Source organism: Homo sapiens, chromosome 19 (genome assembly GCF_000001405.40).
Source record: "Homo sapiens chromosome 19, GRCh38.p14 Primary Assembly".
Taxonomy (NCBI): Eukaryota; Metazoa; Chordata; class Mammalia; order Primates; family Hominidae; genus Homo; species Homo sapiens.
Genome location: NC_000019.10, coordinates 48,408,379 through 48,433,302, shown reverse-complemented (window position 1 = coordinate 48,433,302; position 24,924 = coordinate 48,408,379). Strand labels below are relative to the sequence as shown.

Here is a 24,924-nt window from a genome sequence, read left to right as displayed (position 1 = left end):
ACCTCCACCTCCCGGGTTCAAGCGATTCTGCCTCAGCCTCCCGAGTAGCTGGGATTACAGGCGCCCACCATCATGCCCGGCTAATTTTTGTATTTTTAGTAGAGATGGGGTTTCACCATGTTGGTCAGGCTGGTCTTGAACTCCTGACCTCAGGCAATCCGCCCTTCTCGTCCTCCCAAAGTGCTGGGATTACAGGTGTGAGCCATTGCACCTGTATTGCAGGTGGTGTCACGCCTGTAATCCCAGCACTTTGGGAGGCTGAGGTGGGTGGATCATTTGAGGTCAGGAGTTCAAGACCAGCCTGGCCAACATGGTGAAACCCCACCTCTACTGAAAATACAAAAATTAGCTGGGCATGGTTGCGGGCGCCTGTAGAACCAGCTACTCGGGAGGCTGAGGCAGGAGAATCACTTGAACCCGGGAGGTGGAGGTTGCAGTGAGCAGAGATCGTGCCACTGCACTCCAGCCTGGGTGACAGAGCAAGACTCTGTCTCAAAAAAAAGCAAAATGAAATAAAAAAAAAAAAAAAGAAAGTCCAGTTTCTGGCCAGGCATGGTGCCTCACACCTGTAATCCTAACACTTTTGGAGGCCAAGGTGGTAGGATCGCTTGATCCTAGGAGTTCAAGAGCAGCCTGGGCAACATAGTGAGACCCCCGTCTCTACACGAAAGTGGCACACACCTGTAGTCCAAGCTACTCGGGAGGCTGAGGCGAGAGGATTGCTTGAGCCCAGGATGTCAAGGCTGCAGTGAGCTATGATTGCCTCACTGCACTCTAGCCTGGGGAACAGAGTGAGACCCTGTCTCTAAACATAAATAAATAAACAAACAGAGAAATGAAGGAGAGGGAGATATTGTACATAAAAGAATTTAAGAAAATTCAAGAAATTTTCTCAGAACAAATGACATGAGAATACGATTGAAAGACCCAGCAACGGAAACAGATCAATGGCCATGCGCATGGCTCATGCCTGTAATCCCAGCATTTTGGGAAGCCAAGGCAGGAGGATCGCTTGAGCCCAGGAGTTCAAGACCAGCCTGGAAAACATAATGAGAACCTGCCTCTAAAAAAAAAAAAAAAGAAAGAAAAAGAAGGCCGGGTGCGGTGGCTCACGCCTGTAATCCCAGCACTTTGGGAGGCTGAGGCAGGCGGATCACAAGGTCAGGAGATCGAGACCATCCTGGCCAACACGGTGAAACCCCGTCTCTACTAAAAATACAAAAATTAGCTGGGCTTGGTGGTGGGCACCTGTAGTCCAGCTACTCGGTAGGCTGAGGCAGGAGAATGGCTTGAACCCGGGAGGCAGAGGTTGCAGTAAGCCAAGATCACGCCACTGCACTTCAGCCTGGTGACAGAGCAAGACTCTGTCTCAAAAAAATAAAAAATAAAGAAAAGATAAAAGAAAAGAAAGGAAAGCAGGCCGGGCGCGGTGGCACACACCTATAATCCCAGCACTTTGGGAGGCTGGGGCGGGTGGATCACCTGAGGTCAGAAGTTTGCAACCAGCCTGACTAACATGGTGAAACCCCATCTCTACTAAATACAAAGAAATTAGCTGGGCATGGTGCCACATGCCTGTAATCGGAGCTGCTTGGGAGGCTGAGACAGGAGAATTGCTTGTACCTGGGAGGTGGAGGTTGCAGTGAGCTGAGATCGTGCCATTGCACTCCAGCCTGGGCAACAAGAGTGAAACTCCGTCTCAAAAAAAAAAAAAAAAGGGAAACAGATCAAGGCATGTCACTGATAAATGTCAGTCCACCAAGGACAAGGAAAAGAAACAACAGGTTACATACAAAGGCATAGGAATCAGAATGATCTTGGATTTCTCTACAGTAGCACTGGATATTAGAAAACAATAGAGTGACTCTTCCAAATTCTGAAGGAAAATGAGCTCTAATGCAGAATTCTATACCCAGCCTGACTGTCCATCAAGTACAAGGACAGAAAAAAAGACTTTTCAGATTTGCAATGTCTCCAAAAATATACCCGCTATGTGCCTCTGTCAGGAAGCTCAAAAGAACAAGGAAGCAAAACCCAGAAAGAGTTAGAATTTGTGCTACAACAGGATCCAAACCAGAGATGAAGGGATGAAGGTGAAAGGTGATCCCAAGATGGCGGCTATGCCCAGGCTGGAGCAGGCCAGAAGGCCATAAGAGCAACTTCTTCAATAAGATGAAATTGACAAGGCCAGGCACAGTGGCTCACACCTGTAATCCCAGCACTTGGGAGGCCGAGGTGAACAGATTACTTGAGGCCAGGAATTTGAGACCAAGCTCTTCAATATGGCGAAACCCCACTTTACAAAAAATACAAAAATTAGCTGGGCGTGGTGGTGCACGACTGTAATCCCAGCTATTTGGGAGGCTGAGGCATGAGAATCGCTTGAACCCAGGAGGCAGAGGCTGCAGTGAGCCAAGATCGTGCCACTGTGCTCCAGCCTGAGTGACAGAGAGAGACCCTGTCTCAAAAAAAAAAAAAAAAGAAAAAAGAAAAAAGAAATTAACAGAGTATCTGATACTTCTAACATATTAAGTATATTAATATACTTCTGAACATACCAAGAAGAGATTTAGACAGTAAACAGATAATTTGGGTTTGAATTAGTTAACCACAAAGAAAACACAGCCATGAAGCAACTGAAAAAGGAAAGAAAAAGAAAAAAGACAGTTACTAACCTCAAGAAAAATAGACCAGGCATGGTGGCTCACACCTGTAATCCCAACACTTTGGGAGGCTGAGGTGGGCAGATCCCTTGAGCTCAGGAGTTTGAGACCAGCCTGGCCAACATGGTGAAACCCCCTATCAGCTGGGAGCTATGGCTCCCGCCTGTAATCGTAGCACTTTGGGAGGCTGAGGCAGGCCAATCACTTGAGGTCAGGAGTTTGAGACCAGCCTGGCCAACATGGTGAAACCCCACCTCTACTAAAATTACCAAAATTAGCCAGGCGCAGTGGCGCACGCCTGTAGTCCAGCTAATCGGGAGGCTGAGGCAGGAGAATCACTTGAACCTGGGAGGCACAGATTGCAGTGAGCCAAGATCACGCCACTGCACTCCAGCCTGGGCAACATAGTGAGACCCTGTCTCAAGAAAAAAAAGAAAGAAAAACAAAGAATTGTGTAGGAGAGGAAAGTAATCACGGTTTACTACTGTGGCAGCTGTGAGAGCATTTACATAGTCATAACATGTAAACACTGAATATTCATCTGTCAGAGTCACAATGTGGGAGGCTGAATTGATTTAAATAAGAGTATGAGTATGTCTTCCATAGTGAGAAGCGGATGGAAAAATGCCTAAAATTGAAAAATCAAGAGGTAGTCATGCAAACATGGTATTTAGAGATAGGGAGATAAATCACAAAGTGATACAATAAACAAGGTGAAAGTAGATTCCTCTGGGCTGAGAGAAATGGAGGGTGCCATTTTTTTCCTTAAAGATAAAATTCTTTCCAGGCACGGTGGCTCGTGCCCGTAATCCTGGTGCTTTGGGAGGCTGAGGCAGGAGGATCACTTGAGCCTGGGAATTCAAGACCAGCCTAAGCAACATAGTGAGAACCCCATCTCTACACACACACACACACACACACACATTAAAAAATTAAAATTAGGCCGGGCCCGGTGGCTCATGCCTGTAATCCCAGCACTTTGGGAGGCCGAGGTGGGCAGATTACCTAGGTCAGGAGTTCGAGACCAGCCTGGCCAACGTGGCGAAACCCTGTCTCTATTGAAAATACAAAAGTTAGCTGGGCGTGGTGGCAGGCTTCTGTAATCCCAGCTACTCAGGAGGCTGAGGCAGGAGAATCACTTGAACCCAGGAGGCAGAGGTTGCAGTGAGCCAAGATCACGCCACTGCACTCCAGCCTGGGTGACAAAGCAAGACTCCATCTCAAAAAAATAAATAAATAAAATAAAATTAATCAGATGTGGGGGTGCACACCTGTAGTCCCAGCTGCTTGGGAGGCTAAGGCGGGAGGATCACTTGAGCCCAGGAGCTTGAGGCTGCAATGAGCTGTGACTATGCCACTGCACTCCAGCCTGGGTGACAGAGTGCGACCTTGACTCCCAAACCAAACTAAACTAAACTGAAATTCTTGTATCTGACTCTCCAAACTATGTGGATGGAGAACTCTGATAAATATAGAACTAAAAATTAGAAAAAAAAGAAAAAGTAACAAGGGATACTGGAGAAAAAGAATTCAGCAGAAGCAGGAAATTAGAGCAAGAGATGACAATGAGAAACACAGGGGTGTCCTTTGTGAATCATGAAGCTTCTAGGGAGGGGGACAAAAGGAGTGATTCTGGGTTACTCAGTGCACATGTGAGGCAATATAGCCTAGTGGTGAGAACCTGGGCTGTAGAACTGGGCTGCCAGGGTTCCAGTCCTAGTTCTGCCACTTAGCAGATGCAAGAAGCTTGCTGCTCCTCATGTTTCCAATCATACCCACCTAAGATTTTTTATGAGGTCTTAAGGGTTTAGTTGTGTTCCCTCACCAAATTCACATATTGAAGTCCTAGCCCCTAGTACTTCAGAATGCGACCTTATTTGTATATAGGGCCTCTGCAGAGGGAATCCAGTTAAAATGAGATCATTAAGGTGGGCTCTAATCCAGTATGACTAGTGTCCTTATAAAAAGGGGAACTTGGGCCGGGCGCAGTGGCTCACGCCTGTAATCCAAGCACTTTGGGAGGCCGTGGCAGGCGGATCACCTGAGGATGGGAGTTTGAGACCAGCCTGAGCAATATGGTGAAACTCCGTCTCTACTAAAAATACAAAAATTAGCGGGGCTTGGTGGCACACGCCTGTAATCTCAGCTACAGGAGGGAGGCTGAGGCAAGAGAATCACTGGAACCCGGGAGGTGGAGGTTGCAGTGAGCCGAGATTGTGCCACTGCACTCCAGCCGGGGCAACAAGAGTGAAAGTCCGTCTCAATTAAAAAAAAAAAAAGCGGGGAGGGGGAGGGGGGAGCTTGACTGGGTTCGGTGGTTCACACCTGTAATCCCAGCACTTTGGGAAGCTGAGGTGGGTATATCACCTGAGGTCAGGAGTTCGAGACCAGCCTGGCCAACATGGCAAAAACCCATCTCTGCTAAAAATACAAAAATTAGCCAGGCGTGGTGGCGGATGCCTATAATACCAGCTACTAAGGAGGCTGAGGCAGGAGAATCACTTGAACCCAGAGGGCAGAGGTTGCAGTGAGCCGAGATCATGTCACTGCACTCCAGCCTGGGCAACACTCCATCTCAAAAAAAAAAAAAAAAAAGAACTTGGCCACAGAGACACAAACAGAGGGAAGATGATGGGAAGAGATACAGGGATCAAGAGTCAACAGCCAAGGAGAGGCAGGCCTGGACAGATCCTTCCCTCACAGCCCTCTGAAGGAGCCAAGAGGATGCCTAGCCTCCAGGACTATGAATCAAAACATTGATTTGATTAATTTTTTGCAAACTAATTGTGAACTTAAATTAGTTAGAACAGGACTTGATATATAATAAACATCAAAGTAAATTAAAAAGATACAGGAGTAGACCAAGGAGGGTGGCTCACGCCTGTAATCCCAGCACTTTGGGAGGCCGAGACGGGCGGATCACAAGGTCAAGAGTTCAAGGTGGATCAACCTGGCCAAGATGGTGAAACCCCATCTCTACTAAAAATACAAAAATTACCCGGGCATAGTGGCAGATGCCTGTAATCCCAGCTACTCAGGAGGCTGAGGCAGAGAATTGCTTGAACCCAGGAGGCGGAGGTTGTAGTGAGCCGAGATCGCGCCACTGCACTCCAGCCTGGACAACAGAGTGAGACTCTGTCTCAAAAAAAAAAAAAAAAAAAAAAAAAGAAAAGAAGATATAGGAATGATCCCAAGCCCTGGCAAGGAGGCAAGAAGGATATGGAACAAGTAGAACTCTCTTGCATTGCTGATGAGAGTGTAAATTGGTACAACCACTTTGGATTTTTGTTGTTGTTGTTTTGTTTTGTTTTGTTGTTTTGAGAGGGAGTCTCACTCTGTCAGCCAGGCTGGAGTGCAGTGGTGTGGTCTTGGCTCACTGCAACCTCTGCCTCCAGGGCTCATGCAGTTCTCCTACCTCAGCCTCCTGAGTAGCTGGGATTACAGGTGCCTGCCAGCACACCTGGCTAATTTTTGTATTTTTTTGTAGAGACAGGGTTTCGCCATGTTGGCCAGGCTGGTCTCGAACTCCTGACTTCAAGTGACCTGCCTGCCTCAGCCTCCCAAAGTGCTGGGATTACAGGCATGAGCCACTGTGCCTAACTGTTTTGGAAGATGTCTGACAGTATCTGTTATAGCTAAGCATACTCTCCCTATGACCGGGTAGTTCCACCTATGGGAATACAACCAAGGAAAAGGAATGTGTATGTCCCCCAAACACTTGTACAAGAATGTTCATAGTAGAATATTCATAATGGGCCAAGGTGTGGTGGCTCACGCCTGTAATCCCAGCACTTTGGGAGTCCGAGGTGGGCAGATCACTTGAGGTCAGGAATTTGAGACCAGCCTGGCCAACATGGTGAGACCCCGTCTTTACTAAAAATACAAAAATTAGCCGGGCATGGTGGTGTGTGCCTGTAATCCCACCTGCTCAGGAGACTGAGGCAGGAGAATCGCCTGAACCTGGGAGGTGGAGGTTGCAGTGAGCAGAGATTGCACCACTGGACTCCAGTCTGGGCAACAGAGGAAAACTCTGTCTGAAAAAATAAATAAATAAATAAAAATAAAAAATAAAAAAAAAAGAGGCAATTACACATGTTTAAAAAAGAGAATATTCAGCTAGGCATGATGGCTTATGCCTGTAATCCCAGCTCTTTTGGAGGCCAAGGCGGTTGGATCACCTGAGGTCAGGAGTTTGAGGCCAGTCTGGCCAAGATGGTGAAACCCCATCTCTACTAAACATACAAAAATTAGCTGGGCGTGGTGGCAGGCGCCTGTAATTCCAGCAACTTGGGAGGCTGAGGCAGGAGAACCGCTCAAACCCAGGAGACGGAGATTGCAGTGAGCCGAGATCGCGCAACTGCACTCCAGCCTGGGCAATAGAGAGAGACTCTGTTTCAGAAAAAAAAAAAAAAAAAGAAAGAAAGAAAGAAAGAAAAAGAAAGAAGAGAAAAGAAAAAAAGCAATATTCATAATGGCCAAACACTGGCAATAACCTGAATGTCCACCAGCAGTAGAATGAAAGAATTATGGTATATTTATATAATGGTATACTCAACGGTATTCAGCAATGAAGGAACAATCTGGTGATAACACTGAGGAAAATAAGCCAGACAGGAAGGTATTATATGCACTGTTTGATTCTGTTTAGAGGACGTTCAAAATCAGGCAAAACTAATTATATGATATTCTATGGTGACTGGAGGGGCAGGGGAAGCTTTATGAGAAGCCGGGAAATTCACCATACCTTAATCTGGACCTGGTCACATGGATGTCTATGAATGTATAAATAATGAGTTGCACGCTTTTTGTACCTCACTGTACCTCACTGTATCTATGTATATATCTCAATAAAAAAAAGATGAAAAATATCTATAAAAAGACACGGGATGAGGCCTCAGCTATTTTTACTTATTAAAGGCTGGTGATGTGGCTGACATTTGTATGGGAAAAAAAATACAGGTATCCTGCTTTCTCTGAACTCAAGGCGGGGACAGATTTAGGTTCATTTTGAGAGATGGGGCTGGTCTGTCTTGCTAGTCACATTCTCACCACTTGCTATCCAAAACTTGGGAACCAAGTAGATTTGGAAAGTGCCATCCGCTGGATACGGTGGCTCACGCCTGTAATCCCAGCACTTTGGGAGGCCGAAGCAGGTGAATCACTTAAGGTTAGGAGTTCAAGACCAGCCTGACCAACATAGTGAAATCACATGTCTACTAAAAATAGAAAAATTAGCCGGGGATGGTGGTATATGCCTGTAATCCCAAATACTCGGGAGGCTGAGGCAGGAGAATCGCTTGAACCCGGGAAGCGGAGGTTGCAGTGAGCCGAGATTGCAGCACTGCACTCCAGCCTGGGCAACAGAGCGAGACTCCATCTCAAAAAAAGAAAATGGGATCCCCCCCGCCCGCCCACTGAGAGTCTCTGAATTCTTGCTCTCCCACTGCAAGGACTGAGCAGGCTGGCAGTGTGAGGTATCCCTGAAGGGGTAAAAGAGGAAAGTGATTCTGTTTGCAGCCATCCCTGCCTTCTGAGGAAGGCGCAAGTGAAGCAGAGGTGGGAGGTGGCAGCCTGGAAAGGCACCCTGTTTTGTGTGAGAGAGAGAGAGAGAGAGAGAAGAGAGAATCTGGAATTCTCAGGGTCCTTCCTGGAGGGAAGGGCTGGCGAGAAGAAAACGGAAGAAGGGGGAAGGGGGAGAGATGAGTCAGCAGGCTGGCTGGGGAGAATGCTCTGGGTGAGTAAGGAAGTGAAAAAGTCCCAGGGTCCTGGGGGGCGGCCAGCGCCCTTTTATATTTTCTGTTCATTATGTTGACTAGGAAACTTTTTGCATTTGGGTGATGTCGACCTGGGCGGTCCAGTGCAGCAGTGACACGCCACTAGGGCTGTGGATCACTTGAAATGTGGTCACTCTGAACCTAGATGTGCTGTGAGTGTAAAATGCCACAGATATCAAAGACAGCGTGTGGGGAAAAAAATTATGTAAACGGTCTCACCCATGTTTATACTGATTACGTGTCAAAATAATATTTTGGACATAGTTAGGTAAAATATATTATTAAAAGTAATTTCCAGCCAGGCGCGGTGGCTCACGCCTGTAATCCCAGCACTTTGGGAGGCTGAGGCGGGTGGATCACGAGGTCAGGAGATCGAGACCATCCTGGCTAACACGGTGAAACCCCGTCTCTATTAAAAATACAAAAAATTAGCTGGGCGTGGTGGTGGGCGCCTGTAGTCCCAGCTACTCGGGAGGCTGAGGCAGGAGAATGGCGTGAACCCGGGAGGCGGCGCTTGCAGTGAGCCGAGATTGTGCCACTGCACTCCAGCCTGGGCAACAGAGCGAGACTCTGTCTCAAAAAAAAAAAAAAAAAAAAAAATTTTTTTTTTTGTGAGTCAAGGGGGTCTCACTATGTTTCACAGGCTGGTCTTGAACTCCTGGTCTTAAGTGATCCTCTCACCTTGGCCTCACAAAGCTTTAGGATTACAGGTGTGAGCCACTGCATTGGGCATTAGAAATTTTTTTAAGCCAGGCATGGTGGCTCACGCCTCTAATCCCAGCACTTTGGGAGGCTGAGGCAGGCAGATCACCTCATGTCAGGAGTTCAAGACCAGCCTGACCAACATGGTGAAACCTCATCTCTACCAAAAATACAAAAATTAGCCAGGCATAGTAGTGCACGCCTGTAATCCCAGCTACTCAGGAGGCTGAGGTGGGAGAATTGCTTGAACCCAGGGAAGGCGGAGGTTGCAGTGAGCTGAGATCGAACTACTGCACTCCAGCCTGGGCAACAGAGTGAGATCCTGTCTCAAAACAAACAAAAACAGAAATCAGATCATACCCTTCCTTACGTAAAATCTCCACACCTCAAGGCTTCTCACCGCCTTTAGCATAAAGTCCAGCCCTGACCTTGGCCTCATGCCCAGAATCCTCCCCTCATCTACTCTCTCACCTCAGCTCCTTGCCCTTCAACCACACTGGCCTTCTTGCTGTTCCTCCAGTAAACCAACACTGCACCTTCCTCAGGCCCTTTGCACACTCTGTTCCCTCCGTCTGAAGGCTCTGCTTCCGGAAGTCCACCTGGCTAGCTCTTTCACCTCCTGCAGGGCTCTGCACAAATGTCACCTCCTCCGAGAAGCCCACCCTGAACACCCTGGTGAAAATATCCCAGCCCTGCCGCCCTCTAGCTCACCATCACTTTCTGAAGAGATCTTGATTTTTCTGTTTGCATGTTTATTGTTCATTTCCCACCTCTAGACCTAGGAATCGGGTCTATTTGTTCACCGCTTAGCGTACAGCAGAGGATAAGAAAAATGCACACGGAAGGACTGAGTAAATGCAGGACGGGGAGAGAGTTACTGTGCTCAGCCTTGTTGTATTCGTGGGCTGCACTTTGGGGCCTGAACTCAACTTTTTTTGTATTGTTTTCTTTTTGAGACGGAGTCTGTCTCTGTTGCCCAGGCTGGAGTGCAATGGCACAGTCTCGGCTCACTGCAACCTCCGCCTCCTGCATTCAAGCGATCCTCCTGCCTCAGCCTCCCAAGCAGCTGAGATTACAGGCGCCCGCCACCACGCCCGGCTAATTTTTGTATTTTAAGTAGAGACAAGGTTTCATCATGTTGGCCAGGCTGTTCTCAAACTCCTGACCTCAAATGATCTGCCCGTCTCGGCCTCCCAAGAGCCTGTTGCCGCACCCAGCCTAATTTTTGTATTTTAAGTAGAGATGGGGTTTCACTATGTTGGCCAGGTGGTCTCCAACTCCTGACCTGAAGTGATCTGCCCGTCTCCGCCTCACAAAGTGCTGGGATTATAGGCGTGAGCTACTGCGCCTGGCCTCTGAATTTAACTTCATCCCTATGATTTGGGAAAGGGATGTAAAAAGATAAGAAACACAATCTAAGCATTGATTCCAGTGAGTTCAGGTCTAATGATAATGATAATATCAGCAAACACCTATAGTGCACCGGGCACTGTTCTAAATAAATAAATAAATGTTCTGAGTGGACTAACTAGTTTAATTCTTTTTTTTTTTTTTGAGACGGAGTCTCGCTCTGTCGCCAGGCTGGAGTGCAGTGGCATGATCTCGGCTCACTGCAACCTCCGACTCCCAGGTTCAAGCGATTCTCCTGCCTCAGCCTCCCAAGTATCTGGGACTACAGGCGCGTGCCACCACGCCCAGCTAATTTTTGTATTTTTTGTAGAGACCAGGTTTCACCATGTTGGCCAGGATGGTCTCGATCTCCTGACCTTGTGATCCGCCTGCCTTGGCCTCTGAAAGTGCTGGGATTACAGGCATGAGCCACCGTGCCCGGCTTACTAGTATAATTCTTGTAACAACCTTATGATCATTACAGTGGGGATACTCTTGTTATCCTCATTTTACAGAGGAGGAAACAGAGGTTCAGAGAGGCTGAGTAACTTGCCCAAGGTCACAAAGCCAAGAAGGGGAAGAGCAAAGATTTGAGCCCCATCAGTCTCACCCCAGAATCCAGAAATACTGCATCCCAGAAAATATCCCAAGGAGCCTGCTCCTGGGAGGAGGAGTCCACTTCCACCCTCAGTGACCTCCGCCCTCCAAGCTGACCCACCCAGGGCTGACCTCTGGGACTGAATGAATGAACCTGGACCCCTTGCCATCTTTGAGCATCCTCAGGTCCCCAGCGGCCCAACCCCCACCCCCGGCCCGAGTCTGCGCTGACCCTGCCTTGAGCTGAGTGAGCGCTTCCTCTACGCGGGGCTGGTTGTAGCGCACCATGTAGCTGTGCATGTCGGGATAGTTGCTGCGGATGTTCTTCTCCGTGGAGCCGTTGGGCACGGTCCCAAACTTCAGGGGCGGGTACTGCTCCTGGGGCCTCTGGAACTGGGGCAGAATGGGGAGTGATTAGGGCACCCTCCGCAGGGACATCCCTAACATAAATCACCCATTCTGAGACACACCCGCTATCTGGCAGACACCCCAGTCCCAGGAGTGTTCAATATTTCTCAACACTCGCTCACTACATTAGGGAATGCTTTTCCACTCCCACCCAGCACACACGGTTGCAGACACGTGATCCAAAAGTTCACGAGAAGCCTCCCTGAGGCCCCTGATGTGCCAGGTGTTAAGTCTTCACTTACTGAATCGCGGGAGGTCCTGGGAGTAGAGGCTGGCATGGCAGGAGCTGGGAGCTGTTGCTATTTACCAATCCGTTCAGAAATAGTTCACTTTTTTTTTTTTAAACGGAGTCTTGCTCTTGTTGCCCAGGCTGGAGTGCAATGGCACACTGTCAGCTCACTGCAACCTCCGCCTCCCAGGTTCAACTGATTCTCCTGCCTCAGCCTCCCGAGTAGCTGGGATTACAGGCACATACCACCATGCCCAGCCAGTTTTGTATTTTTAGTAGAGATGGGGTTTCTCCATGTTGGTCAGGCTGGTCTCGAACTACCAACCTCAGGTGATCCGCCCGCCTTGGCCTCCCAAAGTGCTGGGATTACAGGCATAAGCCACCGCGCCCAGACAACTAAAACAAGTTTTGTAAAACCAAACTTATACATAAGATGCAGGCAACTATTCTATTCTACTCCATTCCATTAAAAAATGCTTATTGCAACCCATCAAACTGATTTCTCAAGCCTCTAATAGGTCATGACACCCAGCTAGTTAATCACTTTAGTCTCAAAGTATGCTCTGCAAACCACCAGTCCCTCAACAAACGGTGATTGCAGTGAGATGTGTACAGGAATGGAGAGAGTGAGCATTTAGAGTGATTTGACAGAATTCTTTTTCGTCTGTTGAATCTAATAAATAAAAATGTGAGTTTGGCTTTTTTTTAGGCAGAGTCTCGCTCTGTCACCCAGGCTAGGAATCAGTTCTATTTGTGGCGTAATCATGGCTCACTGTAACCTCCGCCTCCCGGGTTCAAGCGATTCTCCTGCCTCAGCCTCCCAAGTAGCTGGGACTACAGGCACCCACTACCACGCCTGGCTAATTTTTGTATTTTTATTAGAGACGAGGTTTCACTATGTTGGCCAGGCTGGTCTCGAACTCCTGACCTCAGGTGATCCACCCACCTCGGCCTCCCAAAGTGCTGGGATTACAGGCGTGAGCCACCGTTCCTGGCCAGGTTTGACTTTTGTCTGTCTTGGTTTTAGATCTTATTTTACTTTTCTAATAATTCATTTCCGTTGAATTTTACAAAAGCATTGTCTGCAATGGACTAGCAGTTTTTTGTTTTTTTGAGACAGAGTCTAACTCTGTCGCGCTGGCTGGAGTGCAGTGGGGCGATCTCGGCTCACTGCAAGCTCTGCCTCCTGGGTTCACGCCATTCTCCTGCCTCAGCCTCCCGGGTAGCTGGGACTACAGGTGCCTGTCACCACGCCCGGCTAATTTTATGTACTTTTAGAAGAGACGGGGTTTCACCGTGTTAGCCAGGATGGTCTCGATCTCCTGACCTCGTGATCCGCCCGCCTCGGCCTCCCAACGTGCTGGGATTACAGGTGTGAGCCACCGCGCCCAGCCTTAGAAGTTTCAAAAATTAATCCTTCCTCACAGTTTGAGAGAAGCACTGGTTCTAGAATATCCTATTTGACACAACTGCCCCTAGAACATTCAGGGACACCCTCTTCCCTAGGAATATTTTAAATAGCTCATCGTGAACCGTGTTCTTTCTTCATCCACAACATTCCATTCTACCATTCTGGAATTCTCCTTGGGAAGAGACCCCTTCCCGCCCTCCCCCCACCCCTCTCACCCCCGCCCCCCGCAAGAATCCCCTCTAATCTACCACATGACAAGCTCTGTGACCTCCAGCCCCAGCCCCAGCTCCAGCCCAGCCCTGGGCCCACACACACCTTGCGGTCACTGAGCCCAGACACAGTATCCACGTACTCCTCCTGGATCATGAAGGCGGCCAGGTTGGCTGTGTAGCTGGCGAGGAAGATGACGGCGAAGAAGGCCCACACCAGCACCATGATTTTGCTGGTGGTTCCCCGGGGGTTCTCCACGGGCACCGAATTATTGAACACCAGGGCCCAGAGCAGCCAGATGGATTTCCCAATGGTGAAGGTTGAACCGCCAGGGCCTGCAGGGGGCCAGGACGTGGACATGGACCCCAAATCCCTTCTCAATAAGGAAGGGAAAAAAAAAAAAAGAAAGAACTACAATTCCCAGTGGCCCTCAAGGCATCTGGCACCTCCCGAGAGGCCCTAGCTTGACCGCCCCCCCTCCAGGGGCTGCTGGGAAATGTAGTTCTCTGTCTCTGTGGTTCGGGATCTCCGAGGCGGGGGATGGAGGAAGGGGGACTCACGCTTGCCCGTGGCCAGGCTGCGGTTGTAACCAACAGGACTGAGGTACTCGAAGATGAAAACAGTGACGGCGACCACAGTGAGGCACATGACGAACATCATCACCCACACGGCGGGGCTGTAGGGCTCTGGGGACAAGGGAGTGCGTGGTTATGGCTCAGCCAAGCAAAAGACTCGGGGATCAGGCTGGGGCGGTGCCTCACGCCTGTACTCCCAGAACTTTGGGAGGCTGAGGCAGGAGGATCACTTGACGCCTGGAGTTCAAGACCAGACTGGCCTTGAACTCCCTGTCTCTACAAAAAAAAAAAAGGAAGAAAAAAGAAAGAAAAAAAACCCTAGGGTACTACCAGCAGGGAACAAGGTGCAGCCCAGATCTGACCCCATCCTATTCTGGCCCTATCTCTGCTTCTCCATCTCCAAGATAGTCTTATGGCACACCCATACCCCTAGGAGGCAGCCATTCTCAAAGAGAGCCGTCGCAGGCATTTCTGTGGTTTCAGCCACCAAATAGAAACTGTCTCCTAAATGTTTCCTGAGTCACAGGCCCAAGCCTCCACCTACCCCAGCCATCTCCTCAGGCCATTCATCATGTCCCATGCTGAGCCCAGACCAGCTCCCACGCTCCTCATGATGGGAGCCCCACCATCCACCCAGTCACAGGCCCAAACCTCATTTGCCGTCCTCCCTTCCTCCCTCCTTCTCCCTCGCTGGCCACAGCCTGTCAGTATCCAGCCCCACGCTCCTGCCCCTGATGCTACTTGGGCCTCTCCTCTCCATTCTCATGGCCAACAGGGCTCAGGCCTCATCTCCTCCCACCAACCATTTCCCCAGCCTCCTGAGCTCCTGTCTGTCCCCTACAGCCTATCCCCCACACAGCACAGAGAGGACCTGGCCCCTCCCCTGCTTACAGCCCTCCCCAGGCTCCCTAGCACCCCCAGGACAAAGTCCCTGCCACTCAGCCTTGTCACACTCTCCTTTCTGTCCTGATCACTCTCTCAAGCACCCATGCTTTACTCAAAACTCACAGGTGGCTGGGTGTGGTGGTTCACGCCTGTAATCCCAGTACTTTGGGAGGCCGAGGTGGGAGGATCACCTAAGGTCAGGAGTTCAAGACCAGCCTGGCCAACATGGTGAAACCCCATCTCTACTAAAAATACAAAATTAGCTGGGTGTCGTGGTGGGCGCCTGTAGTCCCAACTACTCAGTAGGCTGAGGCAGGAGAATTGCTTGAACCCAGGAGGTGGAGGTTGCAGTGAGCTGAGATCGTGCCACTGCACTCCAGCCTGGGTGACAGAGCAAGACTCTGTCTCAAAAAAAAAAAAAAAAAAGAACTCGCAGGTGCCTGAATCAGCGACACCCTCTCTTCCTTGTCTCCTAGGTGTCCCTGCTAGAGTTAACACCCTGCCCTGTCCATTAGACAACCTCCCATTCATGTGTCCCCTCCTCACATTCGATAACTGTGTTTAGCCCCTGGGAGCTCACCAACAATAAACCCAAATCACCATTTCATTGAGATTAGGACCAGGTGATTCAACTTTCCAGGGCCAAGTGTGAGCTGTCAGGACTGCCCCCGTCACAGCAAGGTCAGCACCCTGGACTGTCACTGCGGCAGCTGGGGACACGCCTGTCACCTCTGCTGGGCAACTTGGTGGGGCATAAATAGGACCTTGTCACTCCTCTGCAGTGTGCTGCCTGCAAGCAGGGGCCCCACGTGGTGCTTCTCAGTGTGCCCTGCAGAGACCTTGGTGCAAAGGGGAGGCCACAGGAGACACCACTGGGCGAAATAAACAGAAAACAAAACACAAAGGAAGGGATGGCTCTTCTTCCAGCCCCTCCCCTCTCCCAGGAGCTTTGCTCACACTTCAGAGAGCAAGTGGGAACTGACAAGCACTGTTGCCCTTGGCCGATGTACGCTTCTCCAGCTCAGCAATGGTCCCTCTACCCAATCCATCTCAAAGCCACCAGCCCATCTGGTGGGCAGCTCTCTAACCACACCCTGCATCTGTCTGCTGTCACCTTCCTATTGCACACCCCCACTCTGTCTCTGGCATAAACCTTGCAGTAGCATCCCCACCAGCCACTTGCTTCCACAGAGTGGGATTTTTTTCTTTGTTCTTTTTTAGAGATAGGGTCTGGCTCTGTCATCCAGGCTGGAGTGCGGTGGTGCCATCTTGGCTCACTGCAACCTCTGCCTCCTGGGTTCAAGCCATCCTTACACCTCAGCCTCCGGAGTAGCTGGGATTACACAGAGCTGGATATTTTAAAAACTTAAATCTGATTATATATCCCCACACCATCTTCTGTAGTTAAAACCCTTGTCCGGGTGCAGTGGCTCACGCCTGTAATTCCAGCATTTTGGGAGGCTGAGGTGGGCAGATCACCTGAGGTCAGGAGTTTGAGATTAGGCTGGCCACCATGGTGAAACCCCGTCTCTACTAAAAATACAAAAATTGGCCAGGCGTGGTGGTGCATGCCTGTGATCCCAGTTACTTGGCAGGCTGAGGCAGGAGAATCGCTTAAACCTGAGAGGCAGGTTGAGGTTGCAGTGAGCCGAGATGGTGCCACTGCATTCCAGCCTGGGCGACAGAGTGAGACTCTGTCTGAAAAAAAAAAAAAGAGAGAGAGAGAGAGAAGTAGAAGCTTATCTTCTGCCTCCTTCACAAGGCTGAGAGATCCTACTGGACAGGGATTTGTGTCTTCCTCATTTGCCACTGTGTTCCCAGTGTGGAGCCCACCACCTGGCACATAGTAGATGCTCAGTAAACACTGATGGTGACTTAAGTGCTTACAAGGTATTGGTACCATGCTAATTTGTTCTCTTCATCTCATACCTAGTACAGGAAAACACTTGGGTTTTGTGGGGCCTGAAGCTTGCACAATTTGGAGGGCTCTCTTTGAGAAAAAATAATTCAACCTTATGAATACAAAACCAGGTGCAGGGCTTGGAAGCTGCAGTGCAAGAGAAGGCTCCTGAGCTCAAGCTTCTTTAGCCTCTTGATGAAATGTCTTCTGGGTAGGGAAATTATTTCTTCCATCTTGTAGATTAGGAAACTGAGGTTCAGAAATGATGTCACTTCACCGAAGTTGCACAGCGGGTTCAAGTACCGATGATACCGGGAACCCAGGTTTTCTGATCCCAGGGCCCACACGGTTGGGGACGGCTACTTTGCCTAGGGCTAGCTCCCTGTCCCAGGGCCCCAGATTACCGAGGAAGGCCGAGGGGGACACCGTGCCATTGCTGCGCGCCACCATGACGCTGATGCCGGTCTCCACGAAGGGGACGGAGAAGTCCACGATCTCGGAGCGCTCCTCGTTGATGGTGAGGGAGCCGATGGCCATGTCTGCGCGCTGGTAGAACACCTGGGGTGGGGGCGATGAGGAGTGGGCGGGGGAACCCGGCTCAAGCGGACAGACTGACACGGACGGCGAGCAGAGACGGGCCCCGGGAGCAGACCAGTGACAGGGTGAGGGAAGGGGCCAAGAGGGATTGCGAGGTGGGTGAGGAGGGGGACGAAGAGTGGGGCAGGGAAGGGCGGAGGTGAGAAATGGGGAACAAGATTGGGAATTGGTAGCCCGCGTCCTACCCGGCTGCTCCCAGCAAGACCTCAAGGCCTTGGTCCAGATCTTCCCAGCCCCACCCTCTTCCCCTAGATTCTCACCCTCCTGGCCCCTCCTCCTCTGTACCAAAGTCCCTCCTCCCAGCCCCGCCCCCTTCCCCTAGGAGTCCCACCCTCCTAGCCCCGCCTCCACTGCCCCAAAGTCCCTCCTCCCAGCCCTGCCCCCTTCCCCTAGGAGTCCCACCCTCCTAGCCCCGCCTCCTCTGCTCCAAAGTCCCTCCTCCAAACCCCGCCCCTGACACCTCCTGACCCCGCCCCCTGTTCCAAGGCATGTCCCTCCCGCGACCCCGCCCCAGGCCCCAATCAGGTGTTTCCTCAATTTGGCCGCGCCCCTGCCCCAGGGTGCCGACCTCTTTTTTTTTATTATTATTTTTTGAGACTGAGTCTCACTCTGTGCCCAGGCTGGAGTGCAGTGGCGCGATCTCCGCTTACTGCAACCTCCGCCTCCCGGGTTCAAGCAATTCTCCTGCCTCAGCCTCCCGAGTAGCTGGGATTACAGGCGCCCGCCACCACGCACGGCTAATTTTTTGCATTTTAGTAGAGACGGGGTTTCACCGTTTTGCCCAAACTGGTCTCGAACCCCTGAGCTCAGGCAATTCGCCCGCCTCGGCTTCCCAAAGTGCTGGGATTACAGGCGTGAGCCACCACGCCCGGCTGTGCCCGCCTCTCGACTCCGCCCCGAAGATTCCCCGCCTCCCGTCCGCCCCCTCACCTCCCCGATCATGCCGTTCCAGACGCCATCGATCTTCTTTCCGTGCTTGCCATTGGTGACCAGGTAGAGGTCGTAGCTGAAGCCGATGGTATGCGCCAGCCGCTTCAGAATGTCGATGCAGAAACCCTTGCAGCAGCGCTTTTCCGGGCGGGGGGCATCCGGTGGAGGGCTGCGGGCAGTGACCAGGCTTGGGGAGTTTGGGGACCCCCTCCTTAGACTCTCTCATGAAGAGAGGATATGGAGGAAGGGATAGGCGGCAGCTAAAACTATGGTTAGCGCTTTCAGGGGAAACTCAGGCTCAAAGAATTCTGAGGTTTGCCTAAGGTCACCAAGCTGGAGGGCTTTGTGGGTCCTGGGTCCCAAGGGAGGAGGGGGCTGGGGGCCCAGACTACTGGGCTTCACGGGAGGCGGGTTTTGGAGCCGGAACTCCTGGATCCCGAGCTGTCACCTGTGGGTTCGGTTGAGCTGGCTCCGGCAGGGGACGGAGTCTCGGATGCAGGTGCCGCTGATAGGGTCTGCAGGCTCCACGATGACAAACGGCCTTTCCTCCAGCGTGGCCACCGTGAGGTGCTGCGTGTCGTCCACTGGCTGCAGGAAGCGACCATAGCGGGACCACAGCGGGTACTTGAGGCGGAGCGTCTGCTGCTCCCAGCTGCCCACCTTGGCCAAAGGGAAAGAGAGTCAGGCTTCCTGGGAAGACTTCCCGGTGTATCCTGGCCTCCATGATCCTCTTCCCTCAGACCTAGGTGTGTGGGCAGCAGCTTCTTCCAAGACCCAGGAGCCCCTCCCACCTTCAGATCCCAGGACCCAGGAGTCCAGGCTCCTTGTCCCCTCCTCCCTCTTAGTCCACGACCTCAAGCCCCCCCTCTGCCAGGATGCAGGAGTCCACACCCTCTGCCATGCCTGAGGTCTGGGGCTACGACTCACCACCTCCCACGTCCTGTCTCTGGTGAGGGAGATGACCACCAGGGAGGGGTTCACTAGGAAGCCGTCCTCATTGAAGGAGTAATCCCGGTTATCCCACGTGATGTTCATGAAGTACCTGCCCAGGAGGAGGGAAAGGGGACATGCTGGGGCCTGGGCTGGACCTTGGCAGCGGAAGGCAGAGAAAGTCCCCTTTCTGCAGACCAGCCCCAGCCCCCAGCTGGAATCTCTCTTCTTTTACCTCCAAGGTCTCAAAAACACGAATATACCCCTTCCCTGCTCAGCACCCTCCCCTTGGCTGCCCAGTGCCCCCCAGGATAAGGTTCCAGACTCTCTTTCAGCTTGGTGTTGAGGCCCTAGAGTCCCCTTTTCTTTCCTTCTTTTTTAAAGTAGAGATGGGGTTTCACTATTTTTCCCAGGCTGGTCTTTTTTTTTTTTTTTTTTTTTGAGACAGAGTCTTGCTCTGTCTCCCAGGCTGGAGTGCAGTGGTATGATCTTGGCTCACTGCCACCTCCACTTCCTGGGTTCAAGTGATTCTCCTGCCTCAGCCTCCCAAGTAGCTGGGATTATAGACATGCACCACCATGCTTGGCTAATATTTTGTTTGTTTTTGTTTTTGTTTTGTTTTTTGAGACAGAGTCTTGCTCTGTCACCCAGGCTGGAGTGCAGTGGCATGATCTTCGCTCACTGCAACCTCCGCCTCCTGGTTCAAGCAATCCTCCTGCCTCAGCCTCCTGAGTAGCTGGGATTGCAGGTGTTCACCACCATGTCCAGCTAATTTTTGTATTTTTAGTAGAGATGGGGTTTCACCATGTTGGCCAGACTGGTCTAGAACTCCTGACCTCAGCCTCAGTGATCCACCTGCCTCAGCCTCCCAAAGTGTTGGGATTACAGGCATGAGCCACCATGCCCTCTTTCTTTTTTTTTTTTTTTAATGTGTGGTTTTTTTGTTTGTTTTTGTTTTTGTTTTTTGAGACAGAGTCTTGCTCTTGTTGCCCAGGCTGGAGTGCAATGGTATGGTCTCGGCTCACTGCAACCTCCGCCTCCCGGGTTCAAGCAATTCTCCTGCCTCAGCCTCCTGAGTAGCTGGGATTGCAGGTGTTCACCACCATGTCCAGCTAATTTTTGTATTTTTAGTAGAGATGGGGTTTCACCATGTTGGCCAGACTGGTCTAGAACTCCTGACCTCAGCCTCAGTGATCCACCTGCCTCAGCCTCCCAAAGTGTTGGGATTACAGGCATGAGCCACCATGCCCTCCTCTTTCTTTTTTTTTTTTTTTTAATGTGTGGTTTTTTGTTTGTTTTTGTTTTTGTTTCTTGAGACAGAGTTTTGCTCTTGTTGCCCAGGCTGGAGTGCAATGGTGTGGTCTCAGCTCACTGCAACCTCCGCCTCCCGGGTTCAAGCAATTCTCCTGCCTCAGCCTCCCGAGTAGCTGGGATTACAGGCGCCCACGACCATGCCCGGCTAATTTTTTGTATTTTTAGTAGAGACAGGGTTTCACCATGTTGACCAGGGTGGTCTCGAACTCATGACCTCAGGTGATCCGCCCGCCTCAGCCTCCCAAAGGGCTGGGATTACAAGCGTGAGCCACCGCGCCTGGCCTGGCCCGCCTCTTTCTTTCTCTCTCTTTCTTTCTTTCTTTCTTTCTTTCTTTCTTTCTTTCTTTCTTTCTTTCTTTCTTTCTTTTCTTTCTCTTTCTTTCTTTCTTTTCTTTCTCTTTCTTCTTTTCTTTTTTTTAAATTTTTATGTATGTATGTATGTATTTATTTATTTATTTTTGAGACAGAGTCTCGCTCTGTCGCCCAGGCTGGAGTGTAGTGGTGCGATCTTGGCTCACTGCAAGCTCCACCTCCCAGGTTCACGCCATTCTCCTGCCTCAGCCTCACAAGTAACTGGGACTACAGGCACCTGCCACCACACCCAGCTAATTTTTTGTATTTTTTTTAGTAGAGACGGGGTTTCACCGTGTTAGCCAGGATGGTCTTGATCTCCTGACCTTGTGATCCGCCTGCCTCGGCCTTCCAAAGTGCTGGGATTACAGGCATGAGCCACCACGCCCAGCCTCTTTTTTTTTTTAAGTAGAGATAGGGTCTCACTACTTTTCCCAGGCTGGTCTTGAACTCCTGAGTTCAAGTGATCCTCCCACCTCAACCTCCCAACATAGTGGGATTACAGGTGTGAATCACTGTGCCAGGCCCCTAGAGTCTGTTTTTGTTCTGGCTTTGCCTTCCTCTGAAGCCGCATCTCTGAGAGTTCCCACCCTCAAACTTCAAACTCTTTTCACCCCAAAATTCTTTTTTTTTTTCTCTATCAACACTGGCTTCAAGGTGTCTCCCAAACATGTCAAGTGATTTCTTATCTCTAGGACTTTGCAGATGCTGTTCTCTCTGCCTGAAAAACCTTATACCACCCCTTATCCTGACCAACTATTCTTCTTATTTATTTATTTATTTATTATTGAGATGGAGTCTTGCTCTGTCACCTAGGCTGGAGTGCAATGGTGCAATCTCAGCTCGCTGGAACCTCCGCCTCCCAGGTCCAAGCGATTCTCCTGCCTCAGCCTCCTGAGTAGCTGGGATTACAGGCAAGCACCACCGCGCCTGCCTAATTTTGTATTTTTAGTAGAGACAGGGTTTCACCATGTTGGTCAGGCTGGTCTTGAACTCCTCACCTTGTGATCTGCCCACCTCGGCCTCCCAAAGTTCTGGGATTACAGGCGTGAGCCACCACTGCCGGCCTATTATTATTATTATTATTATTATTATTATTATTATTATTATTTTGAGACGGGGTCTCACTCTGTCACCCAGATTGCAGTGCAATGGCGTGATCTTGGCTCACTGCAACCTCTGCCTCACAGGCTCAAGTGATCCTTCCACCTCAGCCTCCTGTGAAGCTGCTGGGACTTTAAATGTGCACCGCCATGCCCAACTAATTTTTGTATTTTTGGTGGAGACGAGGTTTCGCCATGTCCCAAGCTCAGATGATCTACTTGCTTTGACCTCCCAAAGTGCTGGGATTACTGGCACGAGCCGCTGTACCCAGCCTTGACCAACTCCATGTGTCTTAAAGACTGAGCTCAAATGTCTCTTCCTCTGGTTAGAAGTGCCCAGGGCTGGGGATGGCCGGGGGTGTCCCTGGACTCCTCAATATCTTCACTATGCAACATCACCCTGGGTACTCTGACTGTCTCTCATGTCATCCACCCAGTCACTGGACTAGACTCTTAGCCGCCTTCCTCCCTCCCGCTACCCAGCCTATCGGTCCCCAAGTCTCCTTCTTCCTGGCCTGGGGCTCTCTCTGCCCTGTCTTCTTCTGTGCCTCCCCACAGCCCTCCTAGGCCCTCATCCCAGCCTCCTGCCTGGCCTCCAGCCTCCAATCTCTCTACTCCAGTCTGTTCCCCACCAGGTCCCAGAGGCGTCTTTCTATACCCAAAACTCACGCCACCCGTCTCCTGCTCATAACCCACCCCTGGCTCACCAGTGCTGTGGAACAGATCCAGGCCTCTCAACCTGCATTGAAGGCAAAGGCCTGGTGCCACCCACACTCCGACTGCTTTTTTTTTTTTTTTTTTTTTTTTGAGTCAGAGTCTCACTCTGTTGCCCAGGCTGGAGTGCAGTGGCACGATCTCAGCTCACTGCAACCTCCGTCTCCTGGGTTCAAGCGGTTCTCCTGCCTCAGCCTCCCGAGTAGCTGGGATTACAGGCGTGCACCACCATGTCCAGCTAATTTGTGTATTTTTAGTAGAGACGGGGTTTTGCTGTGTCGGCCAGGATGGTCTCAATCTCTTGACCTCGTGATCCGCCCGCCTCGGCCTCCCAAAGTGCTGGGATTACAGGCGTGAGCCACCACGCCTGGCCTGTCACTCTGACTCCTAATTCTGTGGCCTTCATCTGCTTGGAACTATTGTGGTCCCACCATCTGCCCAAGTTTCTCTCCCCTCTGGGTTTTTGCATATGCTCGTTTCCCCTGACTGGAATACTATTTCCGGTGAACTCCCCACTACTCTCAGAATCAAGTCCAGGCTGGGCGCAGTGGTTCACGCCTGTAATCCCAGCACTTTGGGAGGCTGAGGGGGGCAGATCACTTGAGGTCAGGAGTTTTAGACCAGCCTGGCCAACATGGTGAAACCCCGTCTCTACTAAAAATACAAGAATTAGCCGGGCATGGTGGCGGGCACCTGTAATCCCAGATATTCAGGAGGCTGAGGCAGGACAATCACTTAAACCCGGGAGGGAGGTTGAGGTTGCACTGAACCAAGATTGTGCCACTGCACTCCAGCCAGGGCAACAGAGCGAGACTGTATCTCAAAAAAAAGAAAAAAAAGAATCATGTCCAAACCCCTGCCCCCTGGCCTAAAGGCCCTTCACAAGCTGGGCCCTGCAACCCTCTCCATCCGCTACTCATACCTTCCTTCCCCTTGCCCACTATGTTCTAGCCACACCAGCAGTGCAGGCTCCCAAACAGGCTTCCGAACAGGCAAGCTATGATTTGGATGTCTGTCCGCTCCAAAACTCATATTGAAATTTACGGCCAGGTGCAGTGGCTCACGCCCGTAATCCCAACACTTTGGGAGGCTGAGGTGGGTGGATCACCTGAGGTCAGGAGTTTGAGAGCAGCCTGGCCAACATAGTGAAACCCCATCTCTACAAAAATACAAAAATTAGCCAGGTGTGGTGGCAGGCACCTGTGGTCCCAGCTACTCGGAGGCTGAGGCAGGAGAATCGCTTGAATCCAGGAGGTGGAGGTTGCAATGAGCCAAGATCACATCACTGCACTCCCGCCTGGGCAACAGAGTGAGACTTCATCTCAAAAAAAAAAAAAAAAAAAAAAGAAATTTAATTGCCATTGCCATTGTGATGGTATTGGGAATTAGGAGGTGGAAACTTTAAGAAGCATTTAGGTCATGGGGCTCCAGTACCCTCACAAATGGACTAATGCTGTGGTTGCAGGAGTGGGTTTGCTTGATCTTCCCTCACTCCTCTCTTTGCCCTTCTACCATGTGATGCCTTCCCTCATGTAATGATGCTGAAAGAAGACCCTCATCAGACGGTGACATCTTGATGTTGGACTTCCCAGCCTCCAGAACCAAGAGCCAACAAATTTCCATTCATTATAATTACCCAGCCTATGATATTCTGTCATAGCAACACAAAACAGACTAAGACAAGGCAGTTCCAGCCCCAGAGCCTTTGCACCTGCTGTTCCCTCTCCCTTCACTGAGATCTTCCAATACTTGGCTCCTTCGCTTTATCCATTTCTTTCTTTCTCTCTTTTTTTTTTTTTTTAAGACAGAGTCTTGCTCTGTCACTGAGGCTGGAGTGCAGTGGTATGGTCTCGGCTCACTGCAACCTTCACCTCCCAGGTTCAAGTGATTCTCCTGCCTCAGCCTCCCAAGCAGCTAGGATTACAGGTGCCTGTCACCACGCCCGGCTAAGTTTTGTAGTTTTTAGTAGAGATGGTGTTTCCCTGTGTTGGCCAGGCTGGTCTTGAACTCCTGACCTCAAGTGATCCGCCCACCTCAGCCTCCCAAAGCCCTGAGATTACAGGTGTGAGCCACCACACCTTGCCTACCTATTTCTTAAATTTTAATTTTTTAAATTATTTTAGAGACAGGGTCTCACTTTGTTGCACAGGCTGGACTGCAGTGAAGAGATCACAGTTCATTACAGCCTCGATCTCCAAGGCTCAAGTGATCCTCCCATGTCAGCCTCCCAAGTAGCTAGGAC

The 24,924-nt window shown here is 50.6% G+C and overlaps 1 protein-coding gene across 2 annotated transcripts in view, besides 6 other annotated features; it reads right to left on the bottom strand.

Moving 5' to 3' along the window:
• The window catches only part of GRIN2D (glutamate ionotropic receptor NMDA type subunit 2D), a 51,264-nt gene that overhangs the window by 11,629 nt on the left and 14,711 nt on the right, over positions 1-24,924 (bottom strand). For both annotated transcript variants that reach the window (NM_000836.4, XM_011526872.2), the window contains 7 exons: positions 19,198-19,312; positions 18,719-18,930; positions 18,271-18,439; positions 17,148-17,301; positions 13,944-14,069; positions 13,489-13,718; positions 11,358-11,518 (listed from right to left, as the gene is read on the bottom strand). In NM_000836.4, coding sequence (NP_000827.2) covers positions 11,358-11,518; positions 13,489-13,718; positions 13,944-14,069; positions 17,148-17,301; positions 18,271-18,439; positions 18,719-18,930; positions 19,198-19,312 — 1,167 coding nt within the window. The remainder of the gene's footprint in view (positions 1-11,357; positions 11,519-13,488; positions 13,719-13,943; positions 14,070-17,147; positions 17,302-18,270; positions 18,440-18,718; positions 18,931-19,197; positions 19,313-24,924) is intronic.
• Positions 8,197-8,491: an enhancer, noted in NCBI's record as "tiled region #8588; HepG2 Activating non-DNase unmatched - State 10:DNaseD, and K562 Activating DNase unmatched - State 5:Enh". NCBI's record gives its function as "activates a minimal TATA promoter and a strong SV40 promoter by Sharpr-MPRA in HepG2 and K562 cells {active_cell/tissue: HepG2 | K562}" and the evidence as "EXISTENCE:reporter gene assay evidence [ECO:0000049][PMID:27701403]".
• Positions 13,580-13,819: an enhancer, noted in NCBI's record as "active region_14894". NCBI's record gives its function as "activates an Ori minimal core promoter by ATAC-STARR-seq in GM12878 lymphoblastoid cells {active_cell/tissue: GM12878}" and the evidence as "EXISTENCE:reporter gene assay evidence [ECO:0000049][PMID:35858748]".
• Positions 13,870-14,636: an enhancer, noted in NCBI's record as "H3K4me1 hESC enhancer chr19:48921924-48922690 (GRCh37/hg19 assembly coordinates)". NCBI's record gives its function as "activates a minimal SCP1, AML or CMV promoter by ChIP-STARR-seq in naive H9 embryonic stem cells {active_cell/tissue: H9 hESC(naive)}" and the evidence as "EXISTENCE:reporter gene assay evidence [ECO:0000049][PMID:30033119]".
• Positions 13,880-14,119: an enhancer, noted in NCBI's record as "active region_14893". NCBI's record gives its function as "activates an Ori minimal core promoter by ATAC-STARR-seq in GM12878 lymphoblastoid cells {active_cell/tissue: GM12878}" and the evidence as "EXISTENCE:reporter gene assay evidence [ECO:0000049][PMID:35858748]".
• Positions 18,194-18,915: an enhancer, noted in NCBI's record as "H3K27ac-H3K4me1 hESC enhancer chr19:48917645-48918366 (GRCh37/hg19 assembly coordinates)". NCBI's record gives its function as "activates a minimal SCP1, AML or CMV promoter by ChIP-STARR-seq in primed H9 embryonic stem cells {active_cell/tissue: H9 hESC(primed)}" and the evidence as "EXISTENCE:reporter gene assay evidence [ECO:0000049][PMID:30033119]".
• Positions 18,349-18,488: an enhancer, noted in NCBI's record as "active region_14892". NCBI's record gives its function as "activates an Ori minimal core promoter by ATAC-STARR-seq in GM12878 lymphoblastoid cells {active_cell/tissue: GM12878}" and the evidence as "EXISTENCE:reporter gene assay evidence [ECO:0000049][PMID:35858748]".